This window comes from Homo sapiens, chromosome 7, assembly GCF_000001405.40.
Source record: "Homo sapiens chromosome 7, GRCh38.p14 Primary Assembly".
NCBI lineage: Eukaryota > Metazoa > Chordata > Mammalia > Primates > Hominidae > Homo > Homo sapiens.
The window spans coordinates 74,588,717-74,614,733 of record NC_000007.14 but is presented as its reverse complement, the minus strand read 5'-3'; the positions used below and the strand labels follow the sequence as shown (position 1 = coordinate 74,614,733).

The following is a 26,017-nucleotide window of genomic DNA, read 5'->3' as shown; positions in this document are numbered from 1 at the left end:
TAGCTGGCACTACAGGTGTGTGCCACCACACCCAGCTAATTTTGTTGTATTTTAGTAGAGACAGGGTTTCACCCTGTTGGCCAGGCTGGTCTTGAACTCCTGACCTCAAGTGATCTGCCCGCCTTGGCCTCCCTAAGTGCTGGGATTACAGACGTGAGCCATTGCGCCTGGCAGGTTTCTGACAGTTCTGGAAGCTGGGAAGTCCAAGGTCAAAGTGCTGGCAGATTTGGTGTCTGGTAAGGGAACCGTTTCTCATAGATGGTCCCTTCTCACATGTCCTCATATGGTGGAATGGGCAAACAAGCTTAAACAGGTCCCTTTTATAAGGGCACTAATCCCATTCATGAAGGCTTCACCCTCATCACCTTATCTCCTCCCAAAGGCCCCACCAGTTTAAGAAAATTTTTATGTTAGAGATGGGGTCGGCCGGATGAGGTGGCTCATGCCTGTAATCCCAGCACTTTGGGAGGTTGAGGCAGGTGGATCATGAGGTCAGGAGTTTGAGACTAGCCTGGCCAACATGGTGAAACCCCGTCTCTACTAAAAACACAAAAATTAGCCAGGCGAGGTGGCAGGCACTTGTAATCCCAGCAACTTGAGAGGCTGAAGCAGGAGAATCGCTTGAACCCGGGAGGGGGAGGTTGCAGTGAGCCAAGATGGCACCACTGTCCTCTAGCCTGGGTGACAGAGCAAGACTCCATATCCAAAAATAAATAAATAAAATAAAATAAAATAAAAATACAAAAATTAGCCAGGCATGGTGGTGCATGCCTGTAGTTCCAGCTACTTGGGAGGCTGAGGCAGGAGAATTGCTTGAACCCAGGAGGCGGGTGCCAAGATCGCACCACTGCACTCCAGCCTGGGTGACAGAGTGAGACTCTGTTCTCAGCATGAAGCCTGAAGGCTATGAAGAAGAAAAGAGCATTCTGGGCCAGGGGTGGTGGCTCACACCTGGAATCCTAGCACTTTGGGAGGCCAAGGCAGGAGGATCCCTTGAGGCCAGGAGTTAGAGACCAGACTGGGGAACATAGTGAGACTCCTGTCTACAAAACATTAAAAAAAATTAGCTGTGGCCAGGCGTGGTGGCTCATGCCTGTAATTCCAGCACTTTGGGAAGCTGAGGCAGGCAGATCACTTGAGGTCAGGAGTTTGAGACCAGCCTGGCCAACATGGTGAAATCCTGTCTCTACTAAAAATGCAAGAATTAGGTGGGCCTGGTGATAGGTGTCTGTAATCCCAGCTACTTGGGAGGCTGAGGCAGGAGAATCGCTTGAACCTGGGAGGTGGAGGTCACAGTAAACCAAGATTATGCCACTGCACTCCAGCCTGGGTGACAGAGTGAGAGTGAGACTCTGTCTTAAAAAAAAAAAAAAAAAAAAAGGCTGGGTGCGGTGGCTCACGCCTGTAATCCCAGCACTTTGGGAGGCTGAGGCAGGAGGATCACCTGAGGTCAGGAGTTCAAGACCAGCCTGGCCAACATGGTGAAACCCCGTCTCTACTAAAAATGCAAAAATTAGCCAGGTGTGGTGGCGGGTGCCTGTAATCCCAGCTACTCAGGAGGCTGAGGCAGGAGAATCACTTGAACCTGGGAGGCGGAGGTTGCAGTGAACTGAGATCGTGCCATTGCACTCCAGCCTGGACAACAAGAGTGAAACTCCATTAAAAAAAAAAATCTGGGCACAGTGATGTGTGTCTGTAGTCCCAGCTACTTGGAAGGCTGAGGTGGGAGGATGGCTTGAGCCCAGGAGGTTGAGGCTGCAATGAGCTATGATGGCCCCACTGCACTCCAGTCTGGGCAACTGAGTGAGACCCTGTCACACACACACACAAAAAAAGGAAGAATAAAAAAAGAAAAGAAAAAAAGAAAAGAACATTCTTTTTGCTCGGGAGGTATTTAGACGGTATCATGAGCTTGTGTTTCAAGCTGTGTGTTCAATAAACCATTTCTGCAGGGACAATGACACATTGTGTGACATGCTCTGAGAGTGCCTGCTGGGCCTGGGCCGCTGGGGGAGGCTGCAAGGGACAGAAGACATTTCAGCTGGATCGTGGCCAGGCAAAGGAAAGGCAAGAACCAGCCAGGCAAAAGGCCTGGAGGTGTGAGAGGCTCTAGAATGATCTGAGACTGGTGAGTGGGGGAGGTGGCCTGGTTTGGCTGGAACCCAAGGCTCCCTGGGGGACAGGGAAGAAGTGAGCTATTGGGGCCAGGTCTCCGATGCCAGACTCACGCCTGTGGGTTTCCTCCTGGAGGCAGTGGAGGCTTGAATGGCTGTGCTTAAGCAGGAACGGGCAGGTCAGAGCTGGGGAGGAGAATGTCTTCTTACTGCTTCGTTTTATTTTTCAAGTGCCAACTTCTTAATATCTGTGAGTCAAGCACTGTGCTATTATTGGGATTGTGGCAACACCTCTAATTGACAGGTTTTTTTTTTTTTTTGGTATGTGTTTTTGAGACAAAGTCTTGCTCTGTCATCCAGACTGGAATGCAATGATGTGATCATGGCTTACTGCGGCCTCGACCTCCCAGGCTCAAGTGATCCTCCTGCTTCAGCCTCCCGAGTAGCTGGGATTACAGGCACACACCACCACGCCTGGCTCATTTATTTTTTGTAGAGATGGGATTTGGCTACATTGCCCAGACTGCTCTTGAACTGCTGGCCTCAAGGAATCCTCCTTCCCACCTTGGGCTCCTGAAGTGCTGAGATTACAAGTGGGAGCCACGGCACCCAGCCCTAATTAACGGTTCTTTTTTGCCAGGTGCAGTGGTTCCCGCCTGTAATCCCAACACTTTGAGAGGCTGAGGCAGGCAGATCACTTGAGGTCAGGAGTTCGAGACCAGCCTGGCTAACATGATTAAACGCTCTCTCTACTAAAAATAGAAAAATTAGCCAGGTGGGGTGGTGGGTGCCTGTAGTTTCAGCTACTCGGGAGGCTGAGACAGGAGAATCCCTTGAACCCAGGAGGCGGAGGTTGCAGTGAGTGGAGATTGCACTACTGCACTCCAGCCTAGGCAACAAGGCGAGACCTCTGTCTCAAAACAACAAACATATGAACAAACAAATCCCCACAAAAACAGTTTTGTTTTGTTTATTTATTTATTTATTTATTTTTATTTTATTTTATTTTTTTGAAATGGAGTCTTGCTCTGTCACCCAGGCTGGAGTGCAGTGGCGCGATCTCGGCTCGCTGCAAGCTCTGCCTCCTGGGTTCACGCCATTCTCCTGCCTCAGCCTCCCGAGTAGCTGGGACTACAGGTGCCCGCCACCACACCCAGCTTATTTTTTGTATTTTTAGTAGAGACGGGGGTTTCACCCTGTTAGCCAGGATGGTCTCGATCTCCTGACCTCGTGATCCACCCGCCTTGGTCTCCCGAAGTGCTGGGATTACAGGCGTGAGCCACCGCACCCGGCCTGTTTTGTTTTTTAAAAGCAGGCTGAGCACAGAGGTTCATGCCTGTAATCCCAGCATTTTGGGAGGCTGAGGCGAGAGGATCGCTTAAGTCAAGGAGTTTGAGACCAGCCTGCAACATAGTGAGACCCTGTCTCTACTAAAAAAAAAAAATTAAAAAGTGTGTGTGCCTGTGTGTATGTGTGTGTACACAATGTGTGTGTGTGAGTGTGTGTGCGTGTGCGCGTATTTCTCTGGTCTTTGCAGCTGAGATCTTTCCTGATGTCCCTTTCCTGTGCAGGGGAGGTCTGGTCTGAGCAAACCTGACTCGTCGGGACCCATTTCTGTTCTTCTTTTCTTCTTCTTTTTTTTTTTTTTTGAGACGGAATCTTGCTCTGTCGCCCAGGCTGGAGTGCAGTGGCACGATCTCAGCTCACTGCAAGCTCCGCCTCCCGGGTTCCCACCATTCTCCTGCCTCAGCCTCCCGAGTAGCTGGGACTACAGGCGCCTGCCACCACGCCCGGCTAATTTTTTGTATTTTTAGTAGAGACGGGGTTTCACCATGTTAGCCAGGATGGTCTCAATCTCCTGACCTCATGATCTGCCAGCCTTGGCCTCTCAAAGTGCTGGGATTACAGGCGTGAGCCACCGCGCCCGGCCCTCTGTTTTTCTTTTCAAATGTACCTCTGTTACTCTCTTTCAAACACATTAGGGAAACCGAAAGAGAAGCTCTGTCCAGCCCCAAGTTGCGGGGTTCGCCTGGGGCAGTGCTCAGCCGCCTGAGTCAGTCTGGCGGTCTCCTCTGAAGCCAAGCCTGGTGCTTCATCTTTTCTAGTTGTGTAACCCTGGACTCAGCCCTTCATCTTTCTGAACCTCAGATTCTTCATTTGTGAAATGAAGAAATAATATTTACTTTGCAGGGCTGTGAGGATTAACAGAGCACATAAAAGTTCTTGCGTAATGGGCCGGGCATGGTGGCTCATGCCTGTAATCCCAGCACTTTGGGAGGCTGAGGTGGGCGGATCCCTTGAGGTCAGGAGTTCAAGACCAGCCTGGCCAACATGGTGAAACACTGTCTCTACTAAAAATACAAAAATTAGCCGGGCGTGGTGGCGGGTGCCTGTAATCCCAGCTACTCGGGAGGCTGAGGCAGGAGAATCGCTTGAACCTGGGAGGTGGAGGTTGCAGTGAGCTGAGATTGTGCCACTGTACTCCAGCCTGGGTGATAGAGCAAGACACCGTCTCAAAAAATAAATAAATAAATAAATAAATAAATAAATAAATATAGGATTTCTATGGAGTTCCAATTTATGACCAGAAATAGAGAAAGCAAATTCTACTGATGGAGGCACAAGTCATAGTTCCCCTACAGATGGATTCTGGGGCTGAGGTTGGGGGAAGGAGGTTACTGGAATCACTGGAGCAGGAGGATTTAAAGAGTTAAGGCAGGCCGGGCGTGGTGGCTCTTGCCTGTAATCACAGCACTTTGGGAGGCTGAGGCAGGCAGATCACCTGAGGTCAGGAGTTCGAGACCAGCCTGACCAACATGGAGAAACCCCATCTCTACTAAAAAATACAAAATTAGCCGGGCGTGGTGGCACATACCTGTAATCCCAGCTACTCGGGAGGCTGAGGCGGGAGAATCACTTGAACCTGGGAGGTGGAGGTTGCTGTGAGCCAAGATTGCACCATTGCACTCCAGCCTGGGCAACAAGAGTGAAACTCCGTCTCAAAAAAAAAAAAAAAGAGTTAAGGCAGCTGGGTGCAGTGGCATGTGCCTGTAATTCTAGTGCTTTGGGAGGCTGTGGAAGGAGGATCACTTCAGTCTGGGAATTGGAGGCTGCAGTGAGCTAGGAGCGCGCCACTGCACTCCAGCTGGGTGACAGAGTGAGACCCTGTCTCAAAAAAAAAAAAAAAAAAAAAGATTTAAGGGCCCTCTTATTTTCCAGGAGACCGGTGTAGTTTATATTCTTTCACCAACTCGCTCACATTTAGTGAGTACCTTGTATGTCCTGGACGTAGGCGCTAGGATAGAACGGTGGATAAAATGGACACAGTCCTTGACATCATAAAGCATAAAGCAGGCAGAGAAGCAGAAAATAATGACAGAAAAAATAAGTTATTGTAGGCTGGGTGCAGTGGCTCACGCCTGTAATCCCAGCACTTTGGATGGCTGAGACGGGTGGATCACTTGAGGTCAGGAGTTCAAGACCAGCCTGGCCAACATGGTGAAACACTGTCTCTACTAAAAATACAAAAATTAGCCAGGCGTGGTGGCGCAAGCCTGTTATCCCAGCTGCTTAGGGGTCTGACGCAGGAGAATCACTTGACCCTGGGAGACGGAGGTTGCAGTGAGCCAAGATCCCGATACTGCACTCCAGCCTGGGTGACAGAATAGACTCCACCTCAAAAAAAAAAAAAAAAAAAAAAAAAAAAAGAACGAATGATACTTGATATTAATAAAATGATATTTATTTACTTGAGATAGGGTCTTGCTCTGTCGCCCAGGCTGGAGTACAGTGGCACAATTATAGCTCACTGCAGCCTTGAATCCCTGGGCTCAGGTGAGCCTCCCACCTTGGTCTCCTTAGTAGCTGGTACTACAGGTGCCCACCATCATGCCCAGCCATGAGTTTTAGGAAGATGATGAAATTTAAAAATTACAGGGCAGTGGCCAAGTGCAATGGCTCACACCTGTAATCCCAGCATTTTGTGAGTCCCAAGTGAGAGGATCCCTTGAGGCCAGGAGTTTAAGACCAGCCTGGGCAACATAGTGAACTTCTGTCTTTACAATAAGAAAAATTAGCTGGGCATGGTGGCATGTGCCTGAAGTCCCAGCCAGTTGGGAGGCGAGGCGGGGGGATCACTTGAGCCCAGGAGTTCCAGGCTTCAGTGAGCTATGATCGAGCCACTGCATTCCAGCCTGGGCCACACAAAGAGACCTTGTCTCTTTTTTTTTTTTTTTTGAGATGCAGTATTGCTCTCTCACCCAGGCTGGAGTGCAGTGGCACGATCTCAGCTCACTGCAAGCTCCGCCTCCTGGGTTCACACCATTCTCCTGCCTCAGCCTCCCGAGTAGCTGGGACTACAGGTGCCCGGCTAATTTTTTGTATGTTTTTTAGTAGAGACGGGGTTTTACCATGCTAGCCAGTATGGTCTTGATCTCCTGACCTTGTGATCCACCCACCTCGGCCTCCCAAGGTGCTGGGATTACAGGTGTGAGCCACCGCACCCGGCCTTTTTTTTTTTTTTGAGATGGAGTTTTGCTCTGTTGCCCAGGCTGGCGTGTGCAGCGGTGCGATCTCCACTCACTGCAACCTCCACCTTCTGGTTTCAAGCGATTCTCCTGCCTCAGCCTCCCGAGTAGCTGGGATTACAGGCATCCGTCACCACGCCCAGCTAATTTTTGTATTTTTTAGTAGAGACGGGGTTTCACTATGTTGGCCAGGCTGGTCTTGAACTCTTGACCTCGTGATCCGCCCGCCTCAGCCTCCCAAAGTGCTGGGATTACAGGTGTGAGCCATCTCGACCGGCCGAGACCCTGTCTTTTAGAAAAAAAAAAAGTAATAATTAATAATGAAGATAAATAACGCTTTGGTTCCTTAAAAAGAGGTACCTCGCAGGGCCGTTGGAAGCACCAGCCAGGAGAGCTCAGGACCAACCCTCCCCTGAGTGCACCAAGCCAGGCACCTGGGCGGTGCGGGAGGGTGGCCCGAGGGGAGCAGGTGCCCCGTCTCGTTTTGTGGCCCGTCCCTGCGCCAATTATTGCTTTATTACTGTTTTCAGTCAGATATAATTCCAGCATTTTCTATAATCTTGATCTTTTCATTGATACCAGATTTTTGTACAATGATTTGTATATAAAATGACTGTGTACCCACCAGAATACATTCCCCGGCAATTAGAACGTTTAAGATGCAGCTCCTAACCGTCCTTCATTTATTACTTTTGAAAGTGTTTTGTGATTTTTTTGGGGATGTGTTTACAAATCCAATAACAATTCTCATTTAGAGTTGCAAAACACGAAGCCATTTCGAACCGAGACAGATGGCAGCTAAATGAAGTTTAATTAAAGAATGAGTGCTTTGAATCAAATCACTTTTTAAAAAGTACAGTACACTGAGATTCTGGAGAGGTTGCATAAACAGCATCTGGGCGCTTCTGCGAGGAAAAGAGTCAGTAAGGCTTTCCCATCGGATAAGGGGCTGGGCGGGCGCAGGGTGGGCGAAGGGAAAAGCGGCCCTTTGCACAAGACCTCTGTCCTCTGCCTGGACACACCTCCCAAAGCCCAGGCCTCCAGGGACTGGGGGAAACTCACAGGAGGCAACCTCTTGCTTCAAACGCTTTGGCTTGGAGCAGGGGAAGGGGGTGGGAGAGGGGTCCCCACTTCTGCCCTTTCTTTAAGACATAGGGTCTCGCTGTGTTGCCCAGGCTGGAGTGCAGCGGCTCAATCCTCTGCTTTTAGGGAAGCGGGAGGATACGAGGGTTTGCTGCACCGACCCACTTAATTGCACGCCATCTGCACAGTGAGCCTGAAAGAGAACAGATTGGGAGCTTCGCGGGCCTTTGCGCGGATGAAGGAGGATCGGGTTCCCCGGCCCGCCCTACCCCCGGGCTCTGCGCCCTCTCCATGCACGGGATGGCAGTGCCCGCGGGCACAGTCTCAGCCCCGCCGCTCCCGGCCGGGGCAGGAGCCACTTCCGGCTCTGGCCGCGGATCTGAGCGGTGGAGCGGGGGCGGCGGGTCTAGACGACCGACAGGCGCCAGCGGGCGGTGGCGGGCGGGAGGGGGCGCCAGGTGGGCCGGGCCCGGGGGACGGAACGGTGGGACAGAAGGCTGGGGACCCGACCCCCTGCGAGGCGCCTGGAACGCCGCACCTAGATGCTTGCACTGGGTGCAAGGAAAGCAAAACAGATTTTAAATCCAGAGTCACAGGATCGGGGGTGGGGGATGGGTTACAGGACGTGAGGGTTGAAGGCAAGGTGGCAGCTGCAAGGACTCTTCAGATCATCTTGACTTCATAGGCAGTTTCTGCTTGGAGGTGGTGGCCAGTTGAGGAGGTCACTCCTGCCCCCATCCTGGAGTGGAAAAAGTGGGCCCGGCCCAGGGCAGGGGCTGAGGGTGGAGTGGAGGCGCCTGGTGGCACTGGGAGCCACTAGGAGGTGGGAGGGAGGAAGGTGAGGCTGGCAGCTGACTGGGTGGGGGGTTTGCACCAGCGGAGAGGGGGTGGCTGTGCCAGGCACGTGGTTTCTAGCGTCTTTCCAGGAGGAAGTGTGGTCTGGAAGGCTGGGATGGGGCCTTCCTCCCAGCTCTGGGCATGGATGGGACTGACCCTGAGGACTGGCAGAAGCCCTGGACTAAAGTTTTGACCATTTCCTCAGCTGATTCAGAACTCAGTCCCTCCAAGCCACAGGCCTCATTCTGGGCCCTGGGTGGACGGTTAGAGCCAGATCCTGGGACCACCCTGACCCCTGACTCTCCAGAACCCCTCGTCCACCCGACTGGCTGACCCTCTAGTTATTTTCTCCACCTGGCCCAAACCACTGCCATCTCTCTCTCTCTCTCTTTTTTTGAGACGGAGTCTCGCTCTGTTGCCCAGGCTGGAGTGCAGTGGTGCGATCTCAGCTCACTGCCAATCTCTGCCTCTTGGGTTCAAGAGATTCTTCTGCCTCAGCCTCCAGAGTAGTTGGGATTACAGGTGTCCACCACCATGCCCAGCTAATTTTTGTATTTTTAGTAGAGACAGGGTTTCACCATGTTGGCCAGGCTGGTCTCGAACTCCTGGCCTCAGGTGATCCACCCACCTCAGCCTCCCAAAGTGCTGGGATTACAGGCATGAGCCACTACGCCTGGCCTCTACTGCTATCTTCTGTTGGAGCCTCCCAGGTGGTCTTCTGATGTATTCCTCCCTTCCTTCTCCGACATCTCTCAGCGGGCAGGGGCACCCTTCCAAAATGCAGACCTAGGCCTGGCTCTCCCCCAGGTACTTCCTGCTGTGGGTCTCATTTGCCTTCTGGAAATTGCCTTGGCCCGGCTTATGAGGCCTTCCACGTGGGTCGGTGAGAAAAAGTACGCAGCTCTGTCCCAGAGTGCATGGCTGGGCAGGTGTAACCCAGGCTGGATGTCTGCCTCTGCCCACCACTTCAGCCCGGCACCATGTGTAGGAGACACCTGCTTAGCGTCCTCGGGAACCCTGACTAAGTCCACACCTGCCCTGACATGTCACCTCCAGCCACCCTGTGTCTGCTCTGGTGACACCTTCTTATTCCTGGAACGTACCCAGTCCCTGTCCAGCTCCGTTTTTGCCCACATCGCTCTCGTCTTAAACACCCACCTACCTCAGCCCTCCTCTCTTTGTCCCCCCAAAGCCTCACTTGCTCTTCAAGCCTCAGCTTCAAGGACTCTTCCTACTTTCTGCACTAGGTGAGGCCCCCCCGCTTTGTTTTTTCAGAGGCAGGGTCTTGCTCTGTTGCCCATGCTCAAGAGCAGTGGTGCAATCACGGCTCACTGCAGTGTCAAACTCTTGGTCTCAAACAATCCTCCTGCCTCAGCCTCCAGAGTAGCTGGGACCACGCACACACCACCATACCCAGCTAATTAACATTTTTTAGAGAAAGGGTTCCACTATGTTGTCTAGGCTGGTCTTGAACTCCTGGCCTCAAGCGATCCTCCCACCTTGGCCTCCCAAAGCACTGGGATTACAGGCCTGAGCCACCGCACCAGCCCTACTCTGTTTTGTACTCCCTGGCAGCTGCCTCCCCAATTAGGACACTCAGCTGCTTGGCCTCCCCAGCCAGAAGGGCAGGGCTCAGTAAATATGTGTCACCCAATAAGCAGGGACTGGGTGCCAGGCCTTGGACGCCTGCCACGCTCTTGTGACTTGTCTTTCTGCCTTCAGTCTTGTCCCTTCCTTCAACTTCCCACCTGCCCCTAAAGTGGTCTTTCTGAGACACAGCTGGGACCCCATCACTCTGCTTGTCAGGTATCCAGAGCTCTATCCAAAATCATCCCAGGCTGGGCATGGTGGCTCACGCCTCTAATCCCAGCACTCTGGGAGGCTGGGGCAGGAGGATGGCTTGAGCCCAGGAATTTGCAGCCAGCCTGGGCAACATAACCCAAGACCCCATCTCTACAAAAAAATCAAAAAATTAGCTGGGTGTGGTGGCTCACACCTGTAGTCCCAGCTACTCTGGAGGCTGAGGCAGGAGGATTACTTGAGCCCAGGAGTTTGAGGCTGCAGGAAGATATGATCGTGCCACTGCATTCCAGCCTGGGGACACAGAAAGAACTTGCCTCTGAAAAAAGAAAACTTGTCCTGCCCCCACCCCACCCCCCTTTTTTTTTGAGATGGAGTTTCATTCTTGTTGCCCAGGCTGGAGTGCAATGGTACAGTCTCGGCTCACTGCAACCTCTGCCTCCTGGGTCCAAGCAATTCTCCTGCCTCTGCCTTCCAAGTAGCTGGAATTACAGTTGCGCGCCACCACACCTGGCTAATTTTTTTGTATTTTTAGTAGAGATAGGGTTTCATCATGTTGGCTGGGCTGGTCTCGAACTCCTGACTTCAGGCGATCTGCACACCTTGGCCTCTCAATGTGCTGGGATTACAGGCGTGAGCCACCGCACCTGGTCTCCAAACCCCTTTTTGAAGAAGCCTCCCATCCAGCCACAGTGCTTCACTGGGATGGGCCCCTCCCTCTCTGACATTTACCATATTTAACACTTTTTTTTTTTTTTGAGACAGGGTCTTGCTTTGTCGCCCAGGCTGGAGTGCAGTGGTGTAATCATGACTCACTACAGCCTCAACCATCTTTACTCAAGCAATCCTCCTCCTGCCTCAGCCTCCTGAGTAGCTGGACTCCAGGTGTGTGCACCACCACGCCTGGCTAATTTTTGTGCTTTTGTTTTGTTTTTTTGAGACGGACTTTTGTTCTTCTTGCCCCAGCTGCAGTGCAATGGCGTGGTCTCAGCTCACTGCAACCTCTGCCTCCCAGGTTCAAGTGATTCTCCTACCTCAGCCTCCTGAGTAGCTGGGATTACAGGTTCCCGCCACCACACCTGGCTAATTTTTGCATTTTTAGTAGAGATGGGGTTTCACCATGTTGGCCAGGCTGGTCTCGAACTCCTGACCTCAGGTGATCCACCCGCCTCGGCCTCCCAAAGTGCTGGGATTACAGGCATGAGCCATCATGCCCGGCCTCATTTTTGCATTTTCGTACAGACGGGGTCTCCTTATGTTGCCCAGGCTAGTCTCAAACTCCTGACCTCAGGTGATTCACCCGCCTCAGCCTCCCAGAGTGCTGGGATTACAGGTGTAAGCCACATTTAACATTTTCTAGAGAAAGGGTTCTACTATGTTGCCTAGGCTCATCTCAAACTCCTGGTCTCAAGCAATCCTCCCACCTTGGCCTCCCAAAGCATCGGTATTACAGGCCAATGAGGTCGAACTCCTGACCTCAAGCAATCCACCCACCTCGACATCCCAAAGTGCTGGGATTCCAGGCATGAGCCACCACGCCCGGCCCCGTGGCACATTTTCCTTCCGTGGCTTTTCTTCTTGAGGTCACGTGCTCCCAGGAGCACAGAGAGCTCTGGGGTCTTCCTGGACACTACCTCTGCTGTGATGAAGAAGGAGGGCCTTGGCAGGCCACCTGAGCTGCGTTTCCTGACCCTGTCCCCAGTGACAGCTGCGGCCACGATCCAAAAGAGAACATGAAACAGTGACCGTAAAAGTAAAGGCAACACTCTTTTTTTTTTTTTTCTTTTTTTACTTATTTAAAAAGGCCTTGGTGGCAGGAATATAGTGTAAAAATCATTGGAAAAACTAAAAGGCATCGATACATATCCGAATATACATTTTGTACATAAATTACATTTCCTTTAGTCTTTCTGAGTGAGGTCCTGATTCAGTACTGAGGTCTAGTAATTAAGAGGTCCCGGGAGCTGCACGTTCAGGCCGGCATAGTCCACCATGTACATTGGCCATTGCTAGAGAGAGGGACAAAGGGACTGGATTAGGACTCCAGGTGATGCGGAACAAACCCAAAATGCTTAGTTCTGCTTTTGGAAGAGCTTTCTCAGAGGCTATTTATTTATATTTTTTATTTTTTTGAGATGGAGTTTCACTCTTCTGCCCAGGCTGGAGTGCAGTGATGCAATCTCGGCTCACTGCAACCTTGGCCCCGCGGGTTCAAGCGAGTCTCCTGCCTCAGCCTCCCGAGTAGCTGGGATTATAGGCGCCCGCCACCATGCCCGGCTAATTTTTCTATTTTTAGTAGAGACGGGGTTTTGCCATGTTGGCCAGGCTGGTCTTGAACTCCTGAGCCTCAAGTGATCCGCCTGCCTCGGCCTCCCAAAGTGCTAGGATTACAGGCGTGAGCCACCACACCCAGCCTATTTATTTATTTTTGAGATGGAGTCTCGTTCTCTTGCCCAGGCTGGAGTGCAATGGGACGATCTTGGCTCACTGCAGCCTCAATCCCCTTGGGCTCAAATGATCCTCCTGCCCCAGCCTCCCAAGTAGCTGCGACCACAGGCACGTGCCACCATGCCTGGCTAATTTTTTTTTCTGAGACAGTGTTTCACTCTTGTTGCCCAGGCTGCAGTGCAATGGCGCGACCTCGGCTCATTGCAACCTCTGCCTCCCAGGTTCAAGCGATTCTCCTATCTCAGCCTTCCAAGTAGCTGGGATTACAGGCATGAGCCACTATGCCCCACTTTGCCCGGCTAATTTTGTATTTTTAGTAGAGATGGGGTTTCCCCGTGTTGGTCAGCCTGGTCTCAAACTCCTGACCTCAGGTGATCCACCCGACTTGACCTGCCAAAGTGCTGGGATTACAGGCGTGAGCCACTGCACCCGCCAGCCATGTCTTTTCATGTCTCCAGCTCTGGTGCGGCTGAAGGGTGTGGGCAGGTGGACCTCAGCCGGCCCATCTGCCCAGCGAGGATGTGAATTCCTGCCTGAGTGCCTGTGAGTACCCCACGAGAAGGATGGGCTACCTCTTGGGTGAGACAGGTGGATGCATCTATAACCCCCGAGGCCGGAAGGTCCCCACTCAAAGCCCAGTGCCTCCCCGTCCCCTGGGCCCACATCCCAGAGTAGACGGCCCTGCCAGACAGAGGGGTGAGGGCCACAGAGATGAGTGCCGGAGTCCAAATCGGTGCAACTTTACCACGAGTGAGATCTGGTTGGCCGATGCCACTGAATCCGGGTTAGAGGACGAGGAAGAGGAAGACGAGGAGGAAGAGGAGACGGAATTTCCTTCCGAGACCCGCTTTCTCTTGCGCTTGGGAATGCTGCTGTCTTTGGCTGGAAGGAGGGGAAAAGGCTGTTGACACTGGAAGCTGAGGCTTTTCTGTCTCAGCCTCCTGAGCTCCCTGGAAAAGTGCTCTGTCTTAAGGTTTCGAGTCCCCCTTTCAGGATTTCAGGCTCCTGATCCCCTGGGGGTCAGGGCCCACCTGTCCAGAGCCCACATGTCCAGCCTCCTTCCCAAAGCAAGCCCGAGGGCCCACTCTCCCCGGCCTCCTGCTCTTGCTGGCCTGCCTGCCTTTGCTAACACCGTATCCTCATCCCCATGTGTCCCTCCTCCTCCCCAGCAAGCTCACCCCTTAGGCCCTAGGTCCTCTCTCTTTCTGGTTTTTTGAGATGGAGTCTCGCTCTGTCACCCAGCCTGGAGTCCAGTGGCGCGATCTTGGCTCACTGCAACCTTTGCCTTCTGGGTTCAAGCGATTCTAGTGCCTGAGCCTCCCAAGTAGCTGGGGTTATAGGTGTCTGCCACCACGTCCAGCTAATTTTTTTGTATTTTGAGTAGAGATGGGGTTTCACCGTGTTGGGCAGGCAGCTCTTGAACTCCTGACCTCAAGTGATCCATCCACCTCGGCCTCCCAAAGTGCTGGGATTATAGGCATGAGCCATCGAACCTGGCCTATATTGTTTTTTAGGGTCTCACTCTGTTGCCCAGGCTGGAGTGCCATGGTGCAATCGTAGCTCACTGCAGCTTCCAAGTCCTGGGCTCAAGCAATCCTCCCACCTCAGGTTCCCGAGTAGCTGGGACTATACGTGCGCGCCACCATGCCTGGCTAACTTTTTGTATTTCTGCATCATTATGTTGCCCAGGCTGGTCTCCAATTCCCAACCTCAAGCAATCCTCCTGCCTCAGCTTCCCTAAATGCTGAGATTACAGGCATGAGCCACCGTGCCTGGCTCATGGCAACAATATTAATCGCATTCTCAGTTTCTGAGTATTTTCTGGGTGCTGGGCACTGTGCTAAATGCTTTGCACATTGTCTGCTGGGATCCTCCCAGCAACCCTCCAAGATCCTATTCACATTTCACTCACGAGCACCCGAAGGGGCAGGGCTGTTAAAGGACTTTCTCCAAGGCCAAGTCTGCGTGGCTCCGGAGGCCACATTCTTTCCTGGGCTCTTTAAGGCTGTGAGGGGATGTGGGACCCCAGGAGAGGCTCTGGGAGTTCTGGGGAGGCTGGAACTGCAGGCTAGGTTGTCCAGGGAGGGTATAAAGAGGACCTGGGGCCAGGCGCAGTGGCTCACACTGGTAATCCCAGCACTTTGGGAGACCAAGGTGGGTGGATTGACTGAGGTCAGGAGTTCGAGACCAGCCTGGGCAACATGGTGAAGGTTGAAACCCTGTCTCTACCAAAATACAAAAAAATTGTATTGCTATGGTTATCACTAATGTATGGTGGTCCTGAGTGGAGAGTTCACAGGTCCAAGTAGACAGGCAGTGCCCCAGTGAAAGAAACTCTGGTTTAGAATCAGAAGTCCTAAGTTCAAATTTCACTGTGGCCACTTACTATTATCACTGTGTGAATCTGGGAAAACTGATGAACCTCTCTGAGTCAAATGGGGAAACCAGTGTGATGTGAGACTCAAAAAACACCGCATGCATAAAAGAACCCAGCACCTAGTTCAGCACGGAGGAGGGGTCAGCAGGTGTTCTGTGGTTGCTGGATTAACTTGAGGTGAAGATGTAAGACTTTGAGCAGCACGTCCTGATTGGATGGATTACTGCATGGAAACCTCGCCCAGCCCAATAAAGAAGGGCTTTTATTGTCTTTTTGAGACAAGGTCTCACTCTGTCACCCATGCTGGAGTGCAGTGGTGTGGTCTTGGCTCACTGCAACCTCCACCTCCCAAGCTCAAGTGATCCTCCTGCCTCAGCCTCCCTACAGGTGCACACCACCCTGCCTGGCTAATTTTTTGTAGAGACGGGGTCTCTGTATGTTGCCCAGTCTGGTCTTGAACTCTTGGGCTCAAAGAATTCTCCTGCTTCAGCCTCCCAAAGTGCTGGGATTACAGGCGTGAGCCACTGCACTCAGCCCACCGGAAGGGTCTTAATGACACAGAGTAAGGGCAGGCTGGGTCCATGGGGCAAATGTCTCTTCAACTGGTGGAGAAGTCAGAAACTGGGGGTCTGTGGTGAGGCATAGAGACCCTGCGAAAGAGAAGACCCTGGAGGCAGGAGGAGCCCAGGCTATGAGTCAGAGGGATTTTTGTGGGAGATTCCACATGAAAAAGAAGTCAGAGGCTGCCCCACCCTCTGTCTCAGACTGGTCCATGGGCTGTGGCCATCCTTGAATCACCATGAGAGATGGCCACATTGGAGGGAGTGGTGGATGTGGGTGACAGTATCCACCCTCTGGGCATCTGTCCCAAATCCTCCTGAGGCTTTCATGTGGCCTTCTGTGTCTCTGCCATGTTTTGTTTTGTTTTTTTTTGAGACAGAGCCTGGCTGTGTTCCCCAGGCTGAAGTACAGTAGTGTGATCTCAGCTCACTGCAACCGCCGCTTCCTGGGTTCAAGCAATTCTCCTGCCTCAGCCTCCTGAGCGGCTGGGATTACAGGCGCCCACCACCACCCCCGGCTAATTTTTTTTTTTTTGGATTTTAGTAGAGACAAGGTTTCACCATGTTGGCCAGGCTGGTCTTGAACTCCTGACCTCAGGTGATCCACCTGCCTCCCTGCCTCAGCCTCCCAAAGTGTTGGGATTACAGGCGTGAGCCACCGCGACTGGCCTCCTCTCTGCCTTTGACCTGAGAGTAAACCAAATCGCCTCCAGATCCGTGTGTTCAGTGCCAGACCTGACCCTTTTAACTGGCTCTTTTTTTTTTGGAAACAGGGTCTCACTCTGTCGCCCAGGCTGGAGCGCAGTGGCACAATCATAGCTCACTGCAGCCTCCACCTTCCGGCCTCAAGCACTCCTCCTGCCTCATCCTCTTGACTATCTGGGACAACAGGTACGCGCCACCACGCCTGGCTAATTTTTAATTTTTTTGCAGAGACGGAGGGAGGGTCTCACTTTATGGCCCAGGCTTGTGACTAGCTCTTGATGGAAGGAGGTGGCTTCTAGCTGGGCTGTGCCACCCCAGGCTGTGGAGTTCCAGGTGAACCTGGTCCTGACAGGAGTCAGGGCCTTGGGTCTCAGGTAAGGTTGTGGCGTGGACTTGCTGAATCCTATCACTGTCCCTGTTGAGCAGCCATACTGGGCCGTGTGGCCCACGGTGGTCTATGGTTCAGATGGGTGGTCCTGAGAGCAGGGTCTACACAGCATCTGACTCACTATGTGGCCTGGGCAAGTCCCTGGGCATCTCTGTGCCTCAGCTTCCCAGCTGTACAATGAGGTGGGGTAAGATTAGATCAGTATTTTTTCTTTCTTCTTCTTTTTTATTTCTTAGGAGACGGGGTCTCGGCCAGGCACAGTAGCTCACGCCTGTAATCCCAGCACTTTGGGATGCTGGGGTGGGAAGATCACTTGAGGTCAGGTGTTTGAGACCAGCCCGGCCAACATGGTGAAACCTCACTTCTACTAAAAATACAAAAAATTAGCTGGGTGTGGTGGTGCATGCCTGAAGTCCCAGCTACTCGGGAGGCTAAGGCATGAGAATTGCTTGAACTCAGGAGGCGGAGGTTGCAGTGAGCCAAGATCGCAAGATTGACTCCAGCCTGAGTGACAGAGTGAGACTCTGTCTTGAAAGAAAAAAAAAAAAAAAAAAGGCCGGTAGCAGTGGCTTACGCCTGTAATCCCAGCACTTTGGGGGGCCGAGGCAGGTAGATCATGAGGTCAGGAGTTCGAGACCAGCCTGGCCAATATGGAGAAACCCCGTCTCTACTAAAAATACAAAAAAATAGCTGGGCGTGGTGGCAGGCGCCTGTAATCCCAGCTACTTGGGAAACTGAGGCAGGAGAATCACTTGAACCCGGGAGTCGGAGGTTGCAGTGAGCCGAGATCACACCACTGCACTCCAGCCTGGGCGACAGAGTGAGACGCTGTCTCGGAAAAAAAAAAAAGAGATGGGGTCTCATTCTGTCATCCAGGCAGGATGGCATAATCATAGCTCACTGCAGCCTTAAACTCTTGGGCTCAAGTGATCCTCCAGCCTCAGCCTCCTGGGACTACAAGTGCCTACTACCATGCCTGGCTAATTTTTAGAAAAACCTTTTTGGTCCACAGCCATACCACCCTGAATGCACCCGATCTTGCCTGATCTCAGAACTGAAGCAGGGTCGGGCCTGGTTAGTACTTGGATGGGAGAAAAAACTTTTTGTAGAGACAAGATCTCACTACGTTGCCCAGGTTGGTTTCAAACTCCTGGACTCAAGCAGTCCTCCCACTTAGGCCTCCCAAATTGCTGGGATTAGAGGCGTGAGCCACCACACCTGGCCAATCAGTGTTTCTTTTTCTTTTTCTTTTCGAGACAGAGTCTTGCTCTGTCACCCAGCCTGGAGTGCAGTGGTGTGATCTCGACTCACTGCAACCTCTGCCTCCTGGACTAAAGTGATTCTTCCACCTCAGACTCCCAAGTAGCTGGGACTGCAGGCGTGCACCACCATGCCAGGCTAATTTTTTTTTTCTTTTTCTTTTTTTTTTTTTTTTTGAGACAGAGTCTTGCTCTGTTGCCCAGGCTGGAGTGCAGTGGCATAATCTTGGCTCACTGCAACCTCTGTCTCCTAGGTTCAAGCGATCCTCCTACCTCAGCCCCCAAGTAGCTGGGATTACAGGCACGTGCCACCATGCCTGGCTAATTTTTGTATTTTTAATAGAGACAGGGTTTAGCATGTTGACCAGGCTGGTCTCGAACTCTTGACCTCAGGTGATCCACCCACCTCAGCCTTCCAAAGTGCTGGGATTACACGCGTGAGCCACCGCGCCCGGCCCTGATTTTTCTATTTTCAGTTGAGATGGGGTTTCACCATGTTGGCCAGTCTGGACTTGAACTCCTGATCTCAAGTGATATGCCTGCCTCGGCCTCCCAAAGTGCTGGGATTACAGGTGTGAGCCTCTGCGCCTGGCCCAATCAGTGTTTCTTAATCAGGTGCACATCATAGTCACCCGGGAGTACTTTCTCCCAAGTCCCATCATACACCTTAATCAGAACCATCATGCCAGGCGGCCCCCAGGTGCCTAGTGAAAGGTTCTGTATACCCTGCAGATGCCAGCAGAACAGAGGGGGTCTGGCCAGTCTCGGGCAATGCCTGCCTGCCTCACCACTGTTGGTCACGTGCTACCCCTCTGCTACCCAGGAGGACTCCATGATCCTCCCTGAGGCCCAGCCTGCCTCTTGTCCTTCCAGCTGACCTCATACACTCACTGGTGCTATGGCAAGGCCTCCCCTCTGCAGGGCACCTGCAGGTTTCTGGAGGCCTCTTGGGGATACCTGGCTCTGTTCATGGAGACCTCAGGCTCCCTGGGGAGGCCCCAGCGTGGAGAGGGGCTATATTTTTCTCAAGGTGGTCAGCCATCTATTGCATGCCCACCTGGACCACATCTATTTCTGCCTTTAAAAAATTTTTTTATGAAATTTTTTTTTTTTAGAGACAGGGTCTCGCTCCGTTGCTCAGGCTGGAGTGCAGTGGTACAATCATAACTCATTGCAGCCTCCAACTCCTGGTGTCTCTGCTTTTTTCTTTCTTTCTTTTTTTCTTTTTTTCGAGATGGAGTCTTGCTCTGTCACCCAGGCTGGAGTGCAGGGGCGCGATCTCAGTTCACCGCAACCTCTGCCTCCCGGGTTCACGCAATTCTCCTGCCTCAGTCCCCTGAGTAGCTGGGATTACAGGTGCCCACGACCACGCCCAGCTAATTGTTGCATTTTTAGTAGAGACGGGGTTTCACCATGTTGCTCAGGCTGGTCTTGAACTCCTGACCTCAAGTGATCTGCCTGCCTCGGCCTCCCAAAGTGCTGGGATTACAGGCATGAGCCACTGCGCCCGGGTCTACCTTTTTTCAAATGGAACAGTCTCTAGTCCCCACGGAGCAGAAGGGTGGCTTCTTCACCTCTGACTCACCTGGCACCTTGGCATCATTGCAGATTTCTGCAAAGGGTCTGAAAAAGAAAGAAATGAGGTGGCAGTTAGAAAATGAGGTTTTCCCCTCCTTTATTTTTTTGAGATGGAGTCTCACTCGGTTGCCCAGGCTGAAGTGCAGTGGCGCAATTTCAGCTCACTGCAGCCTCCACCTCCTGGGTTCACGCCATTCTCCTGTCTCAGCCTCCCGAGTAGCTGGGACTACAGGCGCCCGCCACCATGCCCGGCTAAGTTTTATATTTTTAGTAGAGACGGGGTTTCACCATGTTGGCCAGGTTGGTCTTGAACTCCTGACCTCAGGTGATCTGCCTGCCTCCACCTCCCAAAGTGCTGGGATACAGGCATGAGCCATCGCGCCCGGAGAATCCAGGTGTCTGGCTGTTTTCCCCTCCTTCTCACCTGCTCCCTGAGATATGCTGCTGCTGCTGCTGGGGGAGCCTGGTAAGACCCAAATAAAAATGGGGGGCACAACGTCCCAACAGAGCATCCCCCATATAGGCCCTGGATGATGGGCCTGTGCTGGCAAATCTTTCCTCTGGGTCTGCTGTCCTCATCTATAAAGCGAGGATGTTGTCTGACCAAGTGATCAGAAATGTGTGCCCAGATTTATGCAAGTGGATATTCATCACAGCATTATTATCAATTATTATTTTTGAGACAGAGTCTCACTCTTTTGCCCAGGCTGGAGTTCGGTGGTGCCATCCTAGCTCACTGCAGCCTCGAACTCCTGGGCTCAATCGATCCTCCTGCCTCAGCCTTCCCAGTAGCTGGGAAGGCAGGTGCACACCACCATGCCCGGCTAATTTTTATTTTTATTAATTAATTTTTTTTTTTTGAGACGGAGTCTTGCTCTGTTGTCCAGGCTGGTGTGCTGTGGCATGGTCTCAGCTCACTGCAACCTCCACCTCCTGGGTTCAAGCGATTGTCCTGCCTCAGGCTCTCGAGTAGCTGGGATTACAGGCGTGTACCACCATGCCCGGCTAATTTTTTGTATTTTTAGTAGAGATGGGATTTCACTATGTTGGCCAGGCTGGTCTCGAACTCCTGACCTCGTGAACTGCCCGCCTTGGCCTCCCAAAGTGCTGGGATTACAAGCGCGAGCCACCACGCCCAGCCTATTTTTATTTTTTGAGACAGAATCTTACTCTGTCGCCCAGGCTGGAGTGCAGTGGTGCAATCTTGGCTCACTGCAACCTCTGCCTTCTGGGTTCAAGCAATTCTCCTGTCTTAGCCTCCTGAGTAGCTGGGACTACAGGCACATGCCACCACACTTAGCTAATTTTTTTTTTTTTTTTTTTTTTGAGATGGAGTCTCGCTCTGTCATCCAGGCTGGAGTGCAGTGACACTATCTTGGCTCACTGCAAGCTCCGCCTCCCAGGTTCATGCCATTCTCCTGCCTCAGCCTCTCGAGTAGCTGGAACAACAGGTGCCCTGCGCCACGCCCGGCTAGTTTTTTGTATTTTTAGTGGAGACGGGGTTTCACCATGTTAGCCAGGATGGTTGTGATCTCCTGACCTTGTGATCTGCCAGCCTCGGCCTCCCAAAGTGCTGGGATTACAGGCGTGAGCCACTGTGCCTGGCCCAATTTTTGTATCTTTTTTTTTTTTTTTTTTTTTTTTTAGTAGAGATGAGGTTTCACCATATTGGTCAGGCTGGTCTCGAACTCCTGACCTCAGGTGATTCACCCACCTCGGCCTCCCAAAGTGCTGGGATTACAGGCGTGAGCCACCACGCCTGGCCGTTTTCCTGCATTTTCTAGTTGTTACTTCAGGGGGTGAACTGTCTGTGGGAGAAAGGAAACCTCCACTTTTTGATTTTGAACAATTTGTTTTTTTTTGACACACGCAAATATTATCGTAATTTTAAAAAAACATGTAGGCCAGGCACAGTGGCTCATGTTTGTAATCCCAGTACTTTGGGAGGCCAAGGTGGGCGGATCACTTAAGGTCAGGAGTTCCAGACCAGCCTGGCCAACATGGTGAAAACCTGTCTCTACAAAAATACAAAAATTAGCCAGGTGTGGTGGCGGGCACCTGTGATCCCAGCTATTTGGGAGGCTGAGGCACAAGAATTGCTTGAATCCAAGAGGCAGAGGTTACAGTGAGCCAAGATGACGGCACTGCACTCCAGCCAGGGCGACAGAGCAAGACCTCATCTCAAAAAAACGAAGAAACAAAACACATAATATAACATTGAAGGCGGGCCGGGTACGGTGGCTCAAGCTTGTAATCCCAGCACTTTAGGAGGCTGAGGTGGGCAGATCACCTGAGGTCGGGAGTTCGAGACCAGCCTGACCAACGTGGAGAAACCCTGTCTCTATTAAAAATACAAAATTAGCTGGGGTGGTGGCACATGCCTGTAATCCCAGCTACTCGGGAGGGTGAGGCAGGAGAATTGCTTGAATCTGGGAGGTGGAGGTTGCAGTGAGCTGAGATCGTGCCATTGCACTCTAGCCTGAGTAACAAGAGCAAAACTCCATCTTAAAAAAAAAAAAGAAAGAAAGAAATACACCACAGGCCAGGTGTGGTGGCTGACCCCCATAATCCCAGCACTTTGAAAGGCCGACATGGGAGGATGGCTTGAGCCCAGGAGTTCGAGACTAGCCTGTGCAATACAAAAAAAAAGGGGGGGCTGGGTGTGGTGACTCATGCCTGTAATCCCAGCACTTTGGGAGGCTGAGGTAGGTGGATCACCTGAGGTCAGGAGTTTGAGACCAGCCTGACCAATATGGTGAAACCCCATCTCTACTAAAAATACAAAAAAAAAATTAGCCAGGTGTGGTAGCGTGTGCCTGTAGTGCCAGCTACTTGAGAGACTGAGACAGGAGAATTGCTTGAACCTGGGCGGTGGAGGTTGCAGTGAGCTGAGATCACACCACTGCATTCCAGCCTGTGTGACAGAACGAGAGTCCATCTCAAAAAGAAAGTAATAATATATTAATAAAATAATAATTTAAAAATATAAAGAAATGCATCACAGTGTTGACTTTCAGTAGGAGAGTTACAGCTATCTTCTTTTCTTCTATCTTTTTGTATTTTCCAGGTTGCTGTGTGTATTATTCTGAAAATAATCAAATAATCTATTGTATTAAAAAAAAAAAACTGGGCCACCCAGGTTTGGGTGTGGTGGCTCACACCTGTAACCTCAGCACTTTGGGAGGCCGAGGTGGGAGGATCACTTGAGCTTAGGAGTTCAAGACCAGCCTGGGCAATACAGTGAGACCCTGTTGAGGCTGCACTGGGCCATGATCATACCTCTGTACTCCTGCCTGGGCAACAGAGTGAGACCCTGTCTCAAAACAAAAACCAAAACCCAAAAGATTGTAAGGATATACGGTATAATAGTAATAATGCAGGCTGGGTGCAGTGGCTCACGCCTGTAATCCCAGCACTTTGGGAGGCTGAGGCGGGCAGATCACTTCAGGTCAGGAGTTCGAGACCAGCCTGGCCAACATGGTGAAACTCCATCTCTACCAAAAAAATACAAAAATTAGCCGGTGTGATGGTGCACACCTGTAATCCCAGCTACTTGGGAGGCTGAGGCACGAGAATCGGTTGAACTCAGGAGGTGAAGCGTGCAGTGAGCTGAGATCGTGCCACTGCACTCCAGACTGGGTGACAGAGCAAGACTCTGTCTCAAAAAAAAAAAAAAAAAAAAAAGAGAATCACTGAGACTATGGAATTATAATTATTCTAAAATATATAATAAATATTCATATTTAAATAAACATATTTATATTTAAATGTTAAAAATCAGAATTGTATAGTCAGAAAAAGTCAAATTTAATTAAAACATGTTTTGTTTTTTCCCCAGAGAACAAATGTAATATCTAAAAAATAATCTTTAAAAATAAGTAAATGTCCATGACTGTTGAAGTTGTATGTTTCAGGAGAAAGAGGCAGGAACTATTACAGTACACCTGGGTCTGGATCCCAGCTGACCCACCGTGACCTTGACTTTCACCCTCCCCATGGCCTCGCCCTCTCTGTTCCCCGTTCCAGAGGCCGGGCACTCACTGGAGCTGGTTAATGATGACCATGCGGACATGCTCTCGGGCCTTCAGGATCTTCTCCAGCCGGTGGATGTCGTACGTGTTGGGGTTCCGGAAGGGGATGTCATCAGGCAGACCCGTGACCTCCACGGCGTCTGGGCTGTCCCGGATTAGTTTATAAGGGACCAGCACCGGCCGGTTCAGGCCCAGGGCCTCACCTAGAGGGCACAGGAAGTCACAGTGAGGAAAGATGTCTCCTGTCAATGGCAAAGCCCTCTAGGGAAAGGGCTGGAGTCTGGGCTGCCCTAGCCCAGCAGCCATCACACCCAGAGAGTTTAAAAATCAAGACCCTGGTGGGGCGCAGTGGCTCACGCCTGTAATCCCAGCACTTTGGGAGGCTGAGGCAGGAGGATCACGAGGTCAGGAGATCGAGACCATCGTGGCTAACTCGGTAAAACCTCGTCTCTACTAAAAAAATACAAAAAAATTAGCCGGGCGTGGTGGCGGGCACCTGTAGTCCCAGCTACTCGTGAGGCTGAGGCAGGAGAATGACGTGAACCCAGGAGGTGGAGCTTGCAGTGAGTGGAGATCCCGCCACTGCACTCCAGCCTGGGCGACAGAGTGAGACTCTGTCTCCAAAAAAAAAAAAATCAAGACCTACAGGCTGGGCATGGTGGCTCACACCTGTAATCCTGGCACTTTGGGAGGCCAAGGCAGGAGGATCGCTTGAACCCAGAAGATCAAGACCAGTCTGGGCAACATAGTGAAACCTTGTCTCTACTAAAAATAGAAAAATTAGCCGGGAGTGTTGGCGCATGCTTGTAGTCCCAGCTACTTGGGAGGCTGAGGCAGGAGGATCACCTAAGCCCAGGAGGTGAAGGCTGCAGTGAGCGGAGATACGCCACTGTACTCCAGCTTGGGCAACAGAGTGAGACCCTGTTTAAAAAAAAAAAATCAACATACACAAAACGTGGGTCATGGGCAGAGCAGCCATGTCACCAGGGAGCAGGCAGCCAGCTGGGGGCTCCTGAAAGCCAGGCTGGCTGCAGAGGGAGGCCCCCCACCACCCCCGGGAGGAGGGCTTGGTGTGCTGACCCTGACCACAGGCACTGACCGTATTTCTCGTTGAAGAGTTCCTTCACCTGCTCCCGCAGGATCACCTTCTCCCCGAGTCTGTTGGCGTCATCTTCATCTACAAGAGGAAGACAAGGGGGCATGAGAGTTGGCACCAGCTTAGCCACTGGACCTGCTGCTTCTCCCACCAGGCGTCCCTGATCTGCCAAAACATTACATTCTCTGCAGGGCCGACCCACTCCTATATAGCTGTTTTTTTTTTTTTCCTTTTGAGACAGAGTCTCGCTCTGTTGCCCAGGCTGGAGTGCAGTGGCGTGATCTCAGCTCACTGCAACCTCTGCCTTCTGGGTTCAAGCGAATTCTCCTGCCTCACCATCCCAAGTAGCTGGGATCACAGGCACGTGCCACCATGCCCAGCTAATTTTTGTATTTTTAGTAGAGATGGGGTTTCACCATGTTGCCCAGGCTGGTCTCAAACTCCTGGCTCAGGTGATCCACCCGCCTCAGCCTCCCAAAGTGCTGGGATTACAGGTGTGAGCCACTGTGCCTGGCTGCAGCTGGTTTCTAGCATCAGTTATTGGTCTGTCCCTCCATCCATTTTTCTTTTTTTGAGACACGGTCTTGCTCTGTCACCCAGGCTGGAAGGCAGCAGTGGATCATAGATAGCTCACGGCAGCCTCCAACTCCCAGGCTCAAGTGATCCTCCCACCTCAGCCTCCTGAGTAGCTGGGAATAAAGATGTGTGCCACCATGCCTAATTTTTTAAAGTTTTTGTACAGATGGAGTCTCGCTATGTTTCCCAGGCTGAAGTGATCCTCTTGCTGGCCTCAAGTGATCCTCTTGCTTTGCCCTCCCAAAGTTCAGGAATTACAGATGTGAGCCACGGTGGCCAGCCCATCCCACATTTTTTTATCAGTGTCCCCAGCACAGGCCCTGTGTTGGGCACAAAACAACCTAAAGAGAAGAGGCAGGGCTGCTTCCCTGAGGGGCTCCCAGCCAGAGGGGGTGTCATCTGGTCACTAAAGTACAACAGGACACACTTAGGAGACAAGGGGCATGAATGAGGGTGCCCACCCTCTGTGGGCAAGTCTGGGGAGACCTCCCCCAAGAGAGAAGGATGCTTGAATGGGCTCTCAAGGCCTGACATGGTGGCTCATGCCTATAATCCCAGCACTTTGGGAGGCAGAGGCAGGCAGATTACTTGAGGCCAGGAGTTCGAGACCATTCTGGCCAACATGGTGAAACCCCGTCT

The 26,017-nt window shown here is 51.8% G+C and overlaps 1 protein-coding gene and 1 non-coding gene across 21 annotated transcripts in view, besides 2 other annotated features; both read right to left on the bottom strand.

The window, feature by feature from the left end:
- Positions 7,827-8,236: a silencer, noted in NCBI's record as "silent region_18282". NCBI's record gives its function as "represses an Ori minimal core promoter by ATAC-STARR-seq in GM12878 lymphoblastoid cells {active_cell/tissue: GM12878}" and the evidence as "EXISTENCE:reporter gene assay evidence [ECO:0000049][PMID:35858748]".
- The window catches only part of GTF2IRD1 (GTF2I repeat domain containing 1), a 148,700-nt gene continuing 134,811 nt past the window's right edge, over positions 12,129-26,017 (bottom strand). For 11 of the 20 annotated variants that reach the window (XM_047421058.1, NM_001199207.2, XM_047421064.1 and 8 more), the window contains 5 exons: positions 24,806-24,883; positions 23,717-23,909; positions 19,683-19,720; positions 13,554-13,690; positions 12,129-12,369 (listed from right to left, as the gene is read on the bottom strand). In XM_047421058.1, the coding sequence (XP_047277014.1) occupies positions 12,301-12,369; positions 13,554-13,690; positions 19,683-19,720; positions 23,717-23,909; positions 24,806-24,883 (515 nt within the window). In that variant the 3' untranslated portion in view covers positions 12,129-12,300. Of the gene's footprint in view, positions 12,370-12,439; positions 13,691-19,682; positions 19,721-23,716; positions 23,910-24,805; positions 24,884-26,017 lie in introns of those variants that run through there. The other 9 variants (XM_047421056.1, XM_047421057.1, XM_047421061.1 and 6 more) reach the window with 1 other exon arrangement.
- Positions 15,784-15,853: an enhancer, noted in NCBI's record as "active region_26165". NCBI's record gives its function as "activates an Ori minimal core promoter by ATAC-STARR-seq in GM12878 lymphoblastoid cells {active_cell/tissue: GM12878}" and the evidence as "EXISTENCE:reporter gene assay evidence [ECO:0000049][PMID:35858748]".
- MIR10525 (microRNA 10525) lies at positions 18,708-18,766 on the bottom strand. Its single transcript, NR_162116.1, has one exon. It is a non-coding gene; the product is annotated as a microRNA 10525 (primary transcript).